The sequence below is a fragment of the Homo sapiens genome, chromosome 19 (assembly GCF_000001405.40).
Source record: "Homo sapiens chromosome 19, GRCh38.p14 Primary Assembly".
Taxonomy (NCBI): Eukaryota; Metazoa; Chordata; class Mammalia; order Primates; family Hominidae; genus Homo; species Homo sapiens.
Genome location: NC_000019.10, coordinates 10831987 through 10845635, shown reverse-complemented (window position 1 = coordinate 10845635; position 13649 = coordinate 10831987). Strand labels below are relative to the sequence as shown.

At 50.5% G+C, this 13649-nt stretch overlaps 2 protein-coding genes and 1 pseudogene across 7 annotated transcripts in view, besides 3 other annotated features; 1 reads left to right on the top strand and 2 right to left on the bottom strand.

Annotated features, from left to right (window-relative positions):
- C19orf38 (chromosome 19 open reading frame 38) overlaps positions 1 to 8951 on the bottom strand; it is a 33106-nt gene extending 24155 nt beyond the window's left edge. For 2 of the 3 annotated variants that reach the window (XM_005259847.6, XM_047438562.1), the window contains exon 1: positions 8866 to 8951. The gene's annotated coding sequence lies outside the window, so the exon portion shown is untranslated. Of the gene's footprint in view, positions 1 to 8707 lie in introns of all 3 variants that reach the window. The other variant, XM_005259846.6, reaches the window with a different exon arrangement.
- HIKESHIP2 (HIKESHI pseudogene 2) lies at positions 3424 to 3796 on the bottom strand (annotated as a pseudogene). Its single transcript, NR_170259.1, has one exon. The product of NR_170259.1 is annotated as an HIKESHI pseudogene 2 (transcript).
- Positions 9015 to 9651: an enhancer, noted in NCBI's record as "H3K27ac-H3K4me1 hESC enhancer chr19:10946661-10947297 (GRCh37/hg19 assembly coordinates)". NCBI's record gives its function as "activates a minimal SCP1, AML or CMV promoter by ChIP-STARR-seq in primed H9 embryonic stem cells {active_cell/tissue: H9 hESC(primed)}" and the evidence as "EXISTENCE:reporter gene assay evidence [ECO:0000049][PMID:30033119]".
- Positions 9150 to 9249: an enhancer, noted in NCBI's record as "active region_13994". NCBI's record gives its function as "activates an Ori minimal core promoter by ATAC-STARR-seq in GM12878 lymphoblastoid cells {active_cell/tissue: GM12878}" and the evidence as "EXISTENCE:reporter gene assay evidence [ECO:0000049][PMID:35858748]".
- Positions 9424 to 13569, top strand: TMED1 (transmembrane p24 trafficking protein 1). 3 transcript variants are annotated; one of them, NM_006858.4, is made up of 4 exons: positions 9424 to 9627; positions 10283 to 10380; positions 10519 to 10702; positions 12423 to 13569. In NM_006858.4, exons 1-4 carry the CDS (start codon positions 9445 to 9447, stop codon positions 12639 to 12641), a joined length of 684 nt encoding a protein of 227 aa, NP_006849.1. In that variant the 5' UTR covers positions 9424 to 9444; the 3' UTR covers positions 12642 to 13569. The 3 variants fall into 3 exon arrangements, 2 of the variants coding, with proteins under 2 accessions (NP_006849.1, XP_006722694.1); NR_104015.2 differs by lacking the exon at positions 9424 to 9627 and adding an exon at positions 9896 to 10033; XM_006722631.4 differs by lacking the exon at positions 9424 to 9627 and adding an exon at positions 10045 to 10173.
- Positions 10289 to 10926: an enhancer, noted in NCBI's record as "H3K4me1 hESC enhancer chr19:10945386-10946023 (GRCh37/hg19 assembly coordinates)". NCBI's record gives its function as "activates a minimal SCP1, AML or CMV promoter by ChIP-STARR-seq in naive H9 embryonic stem cells {active_cell/tissue: H9 hESC(naive)}" and the evidence as "EXISTENCE:reporter gene assay evidence [ECO:0000049][PMID:30033119]".

Sequence of the window (13649 nt, the reverse complement as noted above, 5' to 3'; positions counted from 1 at the left end):
AGTGCTGGGATTACAGGCGTGAGCCACCGCACCCGGCCCACCTTTATCTTCTAATACAAGCATTTAAAGGTACACCTTTCCCTCCAAGAACTGTTTTAACTGCATGCCACACATTTTCATATATTGAGCGTCATTAAGTTAGAAATATTTGCTTATTTCCATTGTGCTTTCTTTTCTATGATCCAGAGAATATGTGTGTTGCTTAATGCCCAAGTACTTGGGCTTTTTGGGGGGCAGCTTACTGTTAATGATTTTTAACTCCTTTGTGGTCATATAATTTCAATACTTTGAAATGTACTGACTTTTTAGAATGGTGCAGGGTATCTCGATCCACATTGTACGTACGCTAGAAATTCAAGTACACGGTGTAGTTGTTTGGTATAATATTCTCTAAATATTAATACAATTTGGTCAAGGTAGTACACAGAATATTCTTGAATTTATTGAATTCATCCTCATGCCTTTTTTTTTTTTTGGAGACAAGGTCTTGCTTTCTTGCCCAGGCTGCTGGAGTGCAGTGGTATAATCATGGCTCACTGCAGTCTCCATCTCTCAGGCTCAAGTGATCCTCCCACCTCAGCCTTCCAAGTAGCTGGGACCACAGGCATGCACGGCACCTGGCTAAATTTTTTTTTTTTTTTTGTAGAGAAAGGGTCTCACTACATTGCCTAGCTGGTCTCAAACTCCTGGGCTCAAGTAATCCTCCCACCTTGGGCTCCCAAAGTGCTGGGATTACAGGCGTAAGCCACCACCACGCCCAGCCTCCTTCATTTTTTTTTTTTTTTTTTGAGATGGAATCTCGCTCTGTCGCCCAGGCTGGAGTGCAGTGGCGCAATCTCGGCTCACTGCAAGCTCCACCTCCTGGGTTCACGCCATTCTCCTGCCTCAGTCTCCCGAGTAGCTGGGACTACAGGCAACCGCCACCACGCCCGGCTAATTTTTTGTATTTTTTAGTAGAGACGGGATTTCACTGTGTTAGCCAGGATGGTCTTGATCACCTGACCTTGTGATCTGCCCGCCTCAGCCTCCCAAAGTGCTGGGATTACAGGCGTGAGCCACTGCACCCGGCCTTTCTTTTTTTTTTTTAAACAGAGACAGGGTCTTGCTATGTTGCTCAGGCTGGTCATGAACTCCTGAGCTCAAGCAATCCTCCCACCTTGGCCTCCCAAAGTGCTGGGGTTACAGGCGTGAGCCACCACGCCTAGCTTTTTAAATTTTTTTTTTTTTTTTTTTGAGACGGAGTCTCACTCTGTTACCCAGGCTGGAGTGAAGTGGTGCGATCTCATCTCACTGCAAACTCCACCTCCTGGGTTCAAGCGATTCTCCTGCCTCAGCTTCCTGAGTAGCGGGGATTACACGTGTGCCACCATGCCTGGCTAATTTTTGTATTTTTAGTAGAGACAGGGTTTCACCATGTTGGTCAGGCTGGTCTTGAACTCCTGACCTCGTAATCTACCCACCTCAGCCTCCCAAAGTGCTGGGATTACAGGCGTGAGCCACCGTGTCCAGCCTTTTTTTTTTTTAGACATGGTCTCACTTTGTCGCCCCGGCTGGAGTGCAGTGGCGCAATCTCGGCTGCACTGCAACCTCCATCTTCCGGGTTTAAGTGATTCTCCTGCCTCAGCCTCCTGAGTAGCTGGGATTACAGGCATGCACCACTACGGCTGGCTAATTTTTGGATTTTTAGTAGAGACAGGATTTCACCATGTTGGCCAATCTGGTTTTGAACTCCTGACCTCGAATGATCCGCCCACCTCCCGAAGTGTTGGAATTATAGGCATGAGCCGCCATGCCCAGCCTTCATGATATCTTAACACAGCTTTCCTCCTCCTCTCGGAGCACAAGGATGGGGTCTGTGTTGTTACCTGCAGTGTCCCGTGTCTCCCACCATGCTTGGCACATCATAAATATTTCTCAATCATCTGACCTGACAGCGAAAAAAAACATCCATTCAAGCCACTTCTGTGGCTGTATACTGGGTGTACAGGAGATGGAGTTAAGAGAGATTCCTGGCTTATTTTTTCCACCAACTGAGTACTGAGCATCATCATGTTCCCAGAATTGTGCCAGAGACATTAGGATGAATGAAAATGGCTCCTGTCCTCAAGGAGCTCAGCGTTCAAGAGTCAGACAAGAAGACAAGGAGAGTCCAGTGGTGAAGTGCAGTAACAGAGGCAGTGGCCGAGGGGGCTCAACCCAGCTACAGCAGGGTCAGGGAAGCCTTCTGATTGATATTGATAGTGGCAAGAGGCAGACAAATGCCTAGGCAGATAGGGGCAGGTCCCTGGTGAAACCCCACCTCCAAGCCAAAGACAGTTTAAAGCCTGAAAGCAAAGCTACAAGTCAAATCCAGGGACTGGACAGAGAATCTGTCTTCTATTTGGCGTGCTTTCCTCAGATTGATCCCCACCCTCCACCTAGTTTGCATATACCTACCCTTTCCTAATTGGTTTTCTATACTGTTGGACCCACCTTTGAGTGGTGTCTTCGCTTTAACCTTTTTTGCACACTCACAATCCAATCAGCACACATTCCCCATTCTGAGTCCATAAAAAGCCCCGGATCCAGCCACACTGAAAGATAAACCACACCCCCACATCTCCTCTTTGCTGAGAGCTGTTCTGTCGCTCAAAAAAATTCTCCTCCCATCTTCACCCTTCAATTGTCAGCATTTCCTCATTCTTCTTGGATGCAGGACAAGAGCTTGAGAACTGCCGAATGCAGATACAAGCTATAACACAGGTGGGCTGAGTGGGCAGGGTGCCTCCAGTGTCATGCCCTTGCGGGTGGTAGGGGGCACTGCCGGCCATAGATGTCCCCGGCTGGCAAAGTGGCTAAGAAAAATCCTGAGTCAATATGGTGAAGGAATCTACAACCTGGAATTCTGGTTTTTTTTTTTGAGACAGGGTCTCTCTCTGTTGCACAGGTTGGAGTGCAGTAGTGCAATCATGGCTCACTGCAGCCTCAACCTCCTGGGCTCAAGCGATCCTCCTGAGTCAGGTTCCTGTGTTGCTGGGACTACAGGCGTGTGCCACCATGCCCAGCTACTTTTTTTTTTTCCATTAAAAATTATTTTAGCCAGGCGCAGTGGCTCACGCCTGTAATCCCAGCACTTTGGGAGGCCAAGGCCGACGGATCACGAGGTCAGGAGAACAAGACCATCCTGACTAACACGGTGAAAACCCATCTCTACTAAAAATACAAAAAATTAGCCAGGCATGGTGGCGGGCACCTGTAGTCCCAGCTACTCGGGAGGCTGAGGCAGGAGAATGGTGTGAACCCGGGAGGCGGAGCTTGCAGTGAGCCAAGGTCGCGCCACTGCACTCCAGCCTGGGTGACAGAGTGAGACTCCGTCTCAAAAAAAAAAAAAAGTATTTTATTCAAATTATGTTTTCCAAGAGATGGTTCTGTGGTAGTCATCACTGAAAGTTTTCATACCATTTCAGAACCACATTTGCCGGAATGAACATTTCAGATGGGCTTGGTGTCATCTGGGCCTGAGTGAATGAGTCAACTGAGGATACAGCAGCATTACCTACGGGAGTCTGCTGAGCCATACTGTCCAATAATTCCACTGAAATTCCAATCTGAGCAACAGATGGAGTTCGGACAATATTCATGGCTCCAAAAGGATGTTGGCTTCCTTCTCCAGATTTAAGACCTGAAATTTTGAAGATGGCACTTGGCTTCCCATTCGTGACAAATCCTAGGAGTTGCCACACTGGCATTCCATTTGAATCAGGATAAGAAAAGTAGACAGATCCTCCCATTCCCTCAGGAAATGGGATTGTTCCCATGCCCAGCTAATTTTTTAAAAAATGTTTTTGTGGAGATGGGATCTCACTATGCTGCCCAGGCTAGTCGGGAACTCCTGGGCTCAAGAGATCCTCCCAACTTGGCCGCCCAAAATGCTGGGATTACAGGCGTGAGCCACTCCACCTGGCTTTGACAGTGTCTGTTTTATTCACTGTCAGAGGCTCAGTAAATATTTGGTGAATAATTAGGGAGGAGAGTTTTTGGTTTTGTTTACTCAAGGGACATGGTCTCGATCTCCTGACCTTGTGATCTACCCACCTCGGCCTCCCAAAGTGCTGGGATTACAGGCGTGAGCCACTGTGCCCGGCCGCGAGAGGGTATTTTTTTGTGTGTGTTTATGAGACAGGGTCTCACTGTCACCCAGGCTGGAGTGTAGTGGGCCAATCATGGCTCACTGCAGCCTTGAACTCCTGGGCTCAAGCGAGCCTCCCACCTCTGCCTCCTGAGTAGCTAGGACTATAGGTGCATGCCACCACAACTGGCTAATATTTTATTATTTTGTAAAGATGGTGGTAGGAGCGGGAGAGTCTCTCTACGTTGCCAAGGCTGGTCTCAAACTCCTTGGCTCAAGAGATCCTCTGGCTTCAGCCTTCCAAAGTGCTGGGATTACAAGCATGAGGGTCCAGCTAGAGAAGTTTTTTTGTTTCACTTTTCTATCTTTTCCTCTCTATAATATGTGTTTAAAAAACCTCCTACAACAAAAAGATGAACAACCCAATTTTTAAATGGGCAAAAGACATGAATGGATACCTTTCCAAAGAAGATATACACACCACCGAGAAGCAGATAAGAAGATGCTCAACCTTACTAATCATTTGGGAAATGCACATACACTAGGTTGGCTATAATAAACAAACAAACAAACAAACAAAAAATACAAAACAGGGCCGGTCACAGTGGCCCACGCCTGTAATCCCAGCACTTTAGGAGGCCGAGGTGGGCAGATCACTTGAGGTCAGGAGTTCGAGACCAGCTTGGTCAACATGGCAAAAACCTGTCTCTAGGCTGGGCGCGGTGGCTTACGCCTGTAATCCCAGAACTTTGGGAGGCTGAGGCAGGCAGATCACGAGGTCAAGAGATTGAGACCATCCTGGCCAACATGGTGAAACCACGTCTCTACTAAAAATACAAAAATTAGCTGGGCATGGTGGCATGCGCCCATAGTCCCACCTACTCAGGAGGCTGAGGCAGAAGAATCACTTGAACCTGGGAGGCAGAGGTTGAAGTGAGCCAAGATGGTACCACTGTACTCCAGCCTGGCAATACAGCAAGACTCCGTCTCAAAACAAAACAAAACAAAAACAAAAACAAAAACAAAAATCTGTCTTTATTATAATTACAAAAATTAGCTGGGTGTGTTGGCATGTGCCTGTAATCCCAGCTACTTGGGAGGCTGAGGCAGGAGAATTACTTGAACTTGGGAGATGGAGATTGCAGTTACTGCACTCCAGCCAAAGTGAAGGAGTGAGACTGTCTCAAAAACAAAACAAAACAAAAAACAAAATGCAAAGTAACAAGTGTTGGTGAGGATGTAGAGAAACTGGAACCCTCATACGTGGTTGGTGGGAATGGAAAACAGTACAGCCACTGTGGAAAACACTTTGGTTGTTCCTCAAAAAGTTAAACATAGAAATACCATAGGATCCAGCAATTCCACCACGAGATCTATACCCCAAAGAACTGAACGCAAGTAATAAAATACACATACATACATGTTAACAGCAGCTGTACTCACAATAGCTAAAAGGTTGAAATAACTCTACTGTCCCTCAATAATGAATGGCTAAAGAAATTGTGGGGCCAGGCACAGTGACTCACAACTGTAATCTCAGCGCTTTGGGCACTGAGGCAGGAGAATCACTTAAGCCCAGGAGTTAAAGACCAGTCTGGGTAACACAGGGAGACCTCTTGTCTCCACAGAAAAATAATTAGCCAGGTGTGGTGGCGTGCACCTGTAGTCCCAGCTACTTGGGAGGCTGAGGTGGATCACATGAGTTCGGGAAGTGGAGGGTGCGGTGAGCTGTGATCACACCACTGCACTCCAGCTTGAGTAACACAGCGAGACTGTCTCAAAAAAAAAAAAAAAAAGAACAAAAGAAAAATTGATTGTGGTATGTACATACAATAGAATACTACTCAGCCATAAAAAGGAATTAAATATTGATACATGGTCTAACCCTAGAAACATGCTAAGTAAAAGAAGTTCAATACAAATGGTGACACATTGTCTGCTTCTATTCATATGAAATATCCAGAGTAGGTAAATCCCTAGAGGCAAAAAGCACATAGCTAGTTGAGAGGCGGGGGGCAAAGTGTAATGAGGAGTTGATACAGGAGATAGAAAGTATTTAGGCAGGCAGTGAGGGCAAAGAGTCCTCAGCAGAATTTCTTTTCTAACAGAAAGTAGCCCCTGATATCATTTCTTTTCTAATAAATAGCAGCCTGAAAACTCAAGCTGCAAACATAGATAAGGAAGCTGGAAGCTTGCACGTGGGAATGCTGGCAGCTGCACCAACAGAAAATGGCTACCTGGGAGCCAGGCATATCCAACACGGAGGCTCCATCTCCCCTTTTTTGCTACCACGTGTACAGGAACTAAGAAATGGGCAACATGGGGCTGGTCAAGGTGGCTCACACCAGTAATCCCAGCACTTTGGGAGGCCAAGGTGGGCGGATCATGAGGTCAGGAGTTCAAGATCAGCCTGGACAACATGGTGAAATCCTGTCTCTACTAAAAATACAAAAAATTAGTTGGGCGTGGTGGCAGGCACCTGTAATCCCAGCTACTGAGGCGGGAGAATCCCTTGAACCTGGGAGGCGGAGGTTGCGGAGAGCCTAGGTCACGCCACTGCACTCCAGCCTGGGTGACAGGGCAAGACTCTGTCTCAAAAAAAAAAAAGAAAAAAAAAGAAAAAGAAATGGGCGATGTGGCACAGCTCAGGTAGAGACCCCGGCTGCATAATAAAAGATTAGCAGATACCAGAAATTCACACCCTATGCAAATGGCACACCTGTTCTAACCAGTTTTTCATCCCCTATGTAAATCAGGCTAAGTCTCCTCACCAGCTCATCTATAAACCCCCCTGTATTTTGCTATGGACCAGCAACCCATTTTTCTGGGACTCCTCTCTGTAGCAGAGAGCTATACTCTCCGTTGCCTATTAAACGTTCGTTCTCAACCTCATTCTTTTGTGTGTCCTGGTCCTTGTTCTTCGTGGCTGTGAGACAACGACCCCGGGTGTTACTCAAGACAACGAGGCCGTTTCAGAATCACTGCTTAATGGGTACAGGGATCTTTACTGAGCCGATGAAAATGTTTTGGAACTACATAGAAGTCACTGCACAACACTGGAATGTACTAAATGCCACTGAATTGTTAATTTTAAAATGGTTATTTTTATTTTCTTTTTGACACGGAGTCCTGCTCTGTCGCCCAGGCTGGAGTGCAGTGGCATCATCTGGGCTCACTGCAAGCTCCGCTTCCCAGGTTCACACCATTCTCCTGCCTCAGCCTCCAGAGTAGCTGGGACTACAGGCACCCGCCACCACGCCTGGCTAATTTTTTGTATTTTTGGTAGAGACGGGGTTTCACTGTGTTAGCCAGGATAGTCTCGATCTCCTGACCTCATGATCCGCCTGCCTTGGCCTCCAAAAGTGTTGGGATTACAGGTGTAAGCCACCACACCCGGCCTTAAAATTGTTAATTTTATGCAATGTGAATTTTACTGTATTTAAAAAAATCAATTTTAGTAATCCCAACACTTTGGGAGGGTGAGGGAGCAGGCAGATGGCTTGAGCCCAGGAGTTTGAAACCAGCCTGGGCAACACAGGGAAACCTCATGTCTACAAAAAATTAGTTAGGCATGGAGGTGTACACCTGTAGTCCCAGCTACTCAGGAGGCTGAGGTGGGAGAATCACTTGAGCCCAGGAGGTAGAGATTGCAGTGAGCCATGATGGCGTCACTGCACCCCAGCCTGGGCAACAGAGCAAGACCCTGTCCTAAAAAAAATCCGGCCGGGTGCAGTGGCTCACGCCTACAATCCCAGCACTTTGGGAGGCCGAGGTGGATGGAACAGAAGGTCAGGATATCGAGACCATCCTGGCTAACATGGTGAAACCCCCTCTCTACTAAAAATACAAAAAATTAGCCAGGTGTGGTGGCACGTGCCTGTAGTCTCAGCTACTCGGAAGGCTGAGGCAGGAGGATCGCTGGAACCCCAGGAGACGGAGGTTGCAGTGAGTCGAGATCGCGCCACTGCACTCTAGCCTGGGCAACAGAGGGAGACTCTGTCTCAAAAAAAAAAAAAAAAAAAAAGGAAAAAAAAATTAAAAAAAAAAAGAAAAAAAAGAAAAGGAGTCACCCGTTCTCCACTGTTACTTCAAATTGTCCAAGCAGTGAGTGTAAATGATAGAAAAAGTTGGAGTGAAAAGGAATACCAAACTGATATTACAAAGAGCTACTTCCCCAAATTCTCCAAATGCAGGAAAGTGCTGACAACAGCCAGCTGTATTTGAGGGATCTTTGTCATCACCTGCCAACCTTTTCCGGGTTTATCTTTGAAGACTAAACATCTCCCTGTACACAGTTTATGTTTAGACGGGAACCAAATAACAGATTATTATTTACTGAGGGCCTGTGATGTCCCACGCACTGCGGAAGCAAGCACTCAACAAGCATTTCACGTATCCTAAAGACAGCCCAGTAGCGTAGGCCTATTATCCCCATTTTGCAGAAGAGGAAACTGAGGCTCAACAGAGGGAATGCCTCAAGTAATGGGTGGGGCAGGAGCTGAACCAGGCAACGTGGCTCCCAGTCCCACACTGTCCTTATCTCTTCCTACCTGGGCTGTCGTTTTTCTGACCCGAGGCTACTGTAATGGCTCTATTTACCTGCTGGCCCTTGAGTCTGAGACCCTTGGGGTGCATGGTGGGGCCACGCCCCTCCACTGTCTATAAGCCAGGAAAGCTGAGCACTCAATATGAACCAAGCCTCATCTCAATTCTCACAGCCGCACTACAGGGTGGTCGTTCCATCACTCCCGACTTACGAGGAAACTGATACGCTGATGCCTCTAAGGCGCAAAAGGCGTCGAACCTGGACCACGCTCACAGAGCAAGCAAAACACGACGCCACAGGTATCTCCGCCCCGCCCCAGCCCTTTTATAGGCGAGCCCTACGGGTCGCGTACAGGGCCACGCCTAGACGCTATTTTTGGGTCCACTCCACCACGTCGGTCCCGCCAAAGGTTGTCACGCGCGGCGCACTCTGGGAAAACCACGTGGAGGTGACTAAAAAGGACCCTGCCGCCTGTAACTTTAGTTGTCTTAGCTACTGCCTACAAAAGATGCGCCATCATGGCACTTATTTTTGTAATTTTCCTCCACCAGCGGCCGAGAAGAGAGCCGAAGCCTTTGAGAAAAATATTCCCAGACGGTTGAGTGTTTCTGGGCACATCAGGCATTCATTCGGGCCGCCTGCCCTCTAGTGGGGGGGTCCTTCACTCCTGGCACCTCTGGTTACGGACAACATACAGAAGCCACTGCCAATGAGCTCCGCCGAGTAGCACCGGGGCAGGGCTAGCGCTTAAAGGAGCCGCGACCCCTTTGCAGACCAGAGGGTGACCCGGATGATGGCGGCCGGCGCGGCCCTAGCCCTGGCCTTGTGGCTACTAATGCCACCAGTGGAGGTGGGAGGGGCGGGGCCCCCGCCAATCCAGGACGGTGAGTTCACGTTCCTGTTGCCGGCGGGGAGGAAGCAGTGTTTCTACCAGTCCGCGCCGGCCAACGCAAGCCTCGAGACCGAATACCAGGTAGAGGGTCGCGGGCTGGGCGGCCAGCAGAGTCAGGGAGAGGGGGCGTGGCCAAGCGGTCGAGGCGAGGCGCGCTTTAGGAGGAAGGGGGAGGAATCCGTGCTTGGGAGCGCGGGGGCGGAGCTAGAAAGAGATGGACAGATGGGGCGGGGACGGTGTGTGGGAGCGGAAGGGGAGGGAGTAATGAAGCAGGCGGGGCTAGAGTAAGAGATCCAGAGGGGGCGGGGCCATCGATAAGTATAGGGAGCCTCTGAGAGGACAGGACTCTGGCTGGTGGGCGTGGCGATAGTGCTGATAGGTCAACTGCGGGGGCGTTGCCCACACAGGCCTTTCTCGGGGGTTAGACTAAGGAAAAAGGCTGGGCCTATCCTCTTTCGGAGGCGGAGCCAACCAGGGGCGTGGTCAGGTAAACGTCCATTAAGTACTTTTGGTAGGTGCGTGGTCAGCTGAAAGTATGGACCCCAAGCTGTCATATCAATGAGGGTGGAGGCAAGGGGCGCAGCCACTGGGACAGGTTGGGGCGGGTGTGGGTGTGCCGCCGTTCAGGTAAGCCCTTGGTGGTCTGTATTGATCAGTGTTGGTTCAGCCGTAGCCCTCTTCGGCAGGCGCCCTTGGCCTACCGCTAGCCCTCCACCCGCTCTTACCTGCCCCCCAGGTGATCGGAGGTGCTGGACTGGACGTGGACTTCACGCTGGAGAGCCCTCAGGGCGTGCTGTTGGTCAGCGAGTCCCGCAAGGCTGATGGGGTACACACGTGAGTTCAGTCTTGATGCCTGCCTGGGTTCAGTTACAGCCCTGCCCTTCCCAGGCGGCCTCAGGTTACCGCCCTGACTGCCCCGCTGAGTCGGCTGGCTGGCCACCCTGGGTCATGTCTGTGTGTCTGTCTGCCCAGGGTGGAGCCAACGGAGGCCGGGGACTACAAGCTGTGCTTTGACAACTCCTTCAGCACCATCTCCGAGAAGCTGGTGTTCTTTGAACTGATCTTTGACAGCCTCCAGGATGACGAGGAGGTCGAAGGATGGGCAGAGGCTGTGGAGCCCGAGGAGATGCTGGATGTTAAAATGGAGGACATCAAGGTGTGTCCAGGCTGCGCTGGGGCCACTCCTTCCAGATCTCTAGGATTCACCTGGGGTGCCCCCCTTGGGCTGACCCAGCCTCCCCTCCGTAGTTGTGCCCTCCAACTGAATTATAGTAAGAGTAGCAGCTCTTAAAATAAGTAGTTCATTTCAGGCCGGGCACGGTGGCTCACGCCTGTAATCCCAGCACTTTGGGAGGCTGAGGCGGGTGGATCACCTGAGGTCAGGAGTTTTGAGACCAGCCTGGCCAACATGGTGAAACCCCGTCTCTACTAAAAATACAAAAATTAGCCGGGTGTGGTGGCGGGCGTCTGTAATCCCAGCTACTCAGGAGGCTGAGGCCAGAGAATGACTTGAACCCAGGAGGTGGAAGTTGAACCTGGGAGGCAGAGGTTGCAGTGAGCCGAGATCGCACCATTGCACTCCAGCCTGGGCAATAAGAGCAAAACTCCGTCTCAAAAAAAAAAAAAAAAAAAAAAGTAGTTCATTTCTAGGTATAAACCCTGGTGTAAAGGTTTAAGGAACTCATATCATAAATAACTCATACCGTAAATCTCCAAACCACCTTGTGAAGCAGACCCTGTGCTCAAGTCATCCCCATTTTACAGGTGGAGAAAGTGAGATACAAGATGGCTGAGCAACTCACGGCCACACAGACCAACTAGCAGAGTTGGTATTGAACCCATGCTGGTTTCAGCAACTATGCTCTTAACCACAAGCAAATATGTTCTGTACATTTATTAGTATTTTAATTAACTACTTATTTATTTATTTTCTAACAGATCTCTCTTGGTCACCCAGGCTGGATTGCAGTGGCACGATCTCAGCTCACTGCAACCTCTGCCTCCCAGGTTCAGCCAATTCTCCTGCCTCAGCCTCCTGAATAGCTGTGCCACCACGCCTGACTGACTAATTTTTGTATTTTTAGTAGAGACAGGGTTTCACCATGTTGGCCAGGCTGGTCTCGAACTCCTGACCTCAGGGGATCTGTCTGCCTTGGCTTCCCAAAGCTCTGGGATTACAGGTGTGAGCTACGGCGAGGCAAGGTCTTGCTGTGTCACTCAGGCTGGAGTGCAGTGGTGTGATCATAGCCCATTGCAGCCTCAAACTCCTGGGCTCAAGCAATCCTGCCACCTCAGTGGGACTACGGGTGTGCACCACCATGCCTAATTTTTTGTTTTCTGTAGAGACGAGGTTTCACCATGTTGGCTAGGGTGGTCTTGAACTCCTGGGTTTAAGTGATCCTCCTGTGTTTGGATTACAGGTGTAATCTTGCTTCAGCCTCCTGAGTAGCTGGGATTGCAGTTGCACATCACCACCCCTGGCTAATTTTTTGTAGAGATGGGGTTTTGCCATGTAGCCCAGGCTGGTCTCAAACTCCTGGGCTCAAGCGATCCTCCCACCTCAGCCTTCCAAAGTGCTAGGATTATAGGCATGAGCCACCATGCTCATCCTTGTACATTTATTTAGGCATTAAATGTTCACAGCAATTTGGAAGCTTATAGAAGAGGAAACAGGCTCAGATAGGTTAATTAAGTTGCTCATGGTCACAGCCAGTGAGTGGCAGGGTGAGGATTTGAACTTAGCCTGAACAAGTCTGTGTTTGCAGCTGTACCTCCCAGGGTTAATACAGCCTCCCTCCGTATCCCCCGGTTTTTTTGGTCTCTGCTCCCTGATGGGTGGAGGGAGGCCTGACCCTTCCCCTCCCGCTGCCCTGTAGGAGTCCATTGAGACCATGCGGACCCGGCTGGAGCGCAGCATCCAGATGCTCACGCTACTGCGGGCCTTCGAGGCACGTGACCGCAACCTGCAAGAGGGCAACTTGGAGCGGGTCAACTTCTGGTCAGCTGTCAACGTGGCGGTGCTGCTGCTGGTGGCTGTGCTGCAGGTCTGCACGCTCAAGCGCTTCTTCCAGGACAAGCGCCCGGTGCCCACGTAGCCCCTGCCATGGAAGGAAGAACGGGACAAAGGAGGGGCAGCAGGGTGTGTGCATATGAGACTTGGGGGTCCCTCCCCAATTTTAGTTTCCTGCCAAAACGGGAGTGTGCAGTCAGGGCCTGCGGTCTGGCCCCATGAGTCTCCTTCCGTCCTCAGCGGGCAGGGAACACCTCTGGCTTGTAGAAGGGACGGCTCAGTGGCTGCACCGACGGTCCTGGAAATCTCACATGGTGGGCACTGCAGCGTTGGAACGTGAGCCTCGGATTTCCTGGCCCCTCTACTGTAAATGTGCCTTAGCCTAAGCCTCCCATCCTGTGTTAGCGTTGCCTGGTGCGGGGCAGGGCCTAACAAGGAAACCTGGGCCCTCCAAGCCAGGTTGAGGTCTGGTAACAGAATGCCAGGAAGGGGGCCTGGAAGACCACCTGCCCCGGCCCCTCTCCTGCAGGGGCCCCACACAGGCATGAGGGATGGCCCGGCCAAAGTCTAGGCAGAAGCCTCCTATAACAAAGGGTGGTGTGGCCTGGGCATTGGAGTCAATAAATTATGGTCAGAAAATCACAAGAGCCTGCTGATTGGGGCTCAGGGACACCAGCCAGGACAGACCGGCCCCCGAGGGGGCAGCCAGACAGGTGGGAGGGGCCTCCCACGAAGCTCAGAAGAAAGGTCGTGCGGGAGCCGATGGAGGTGGTCGCCTGGCACAAGAGAAAAATCAGAAAGCAAAGTTTAACTGAGCCCCAGTTGGGCCACGAGGCTTGGGCTTCCCCACGAGGTGAGAGAAGCAGGGCCTGAGGGTAGGAAGGGGGTGGAGCGCTGGGGTCCCCGCTTCACCAGGCAGCAGCCAGGCCTGTGCACGTGGGGGTGTGCAGGGGGTCAGAGAATATCTGCTCCCACTCCTCACATGCTAAGGAAAGTAAAAGCTCTCCCCTGTATCGAGTGGCTTCCTCTGAAAGGTGACACCCCCGAAAGCAGAGCCCTCAGGGAGATGGGAGGCACTTATGAGTGCAGGGAC

What these genes read in the sequence shown, in the direction of transcription:
- TMED1 (NM_006858.4), top strand. Translation starts at nt 9,445, where the DNA reads ATGATGGCGGCCGGCGCGGCCCTAGCCCTGGCCTTGTGGCTACTAATG. An exon ending in AAGGCTGATGGGGTACACAC is followed by an intron (nt 10,381 to 10,518) that starts GTGAGTTCAGTC and finishes CTGTCTGCCCAG; the next exon opens with GGTGGAGCCAACGGAGGCCG. An exon ending in TTAAAATGGAGGACATCAAG is followed by an intron (nt 10,703 to 12,422) that starts GTGTGTCCAGGC and finishes GCTGCCCTGTAG; the next exon opens with GAGTCCATTGAGACCATGCG.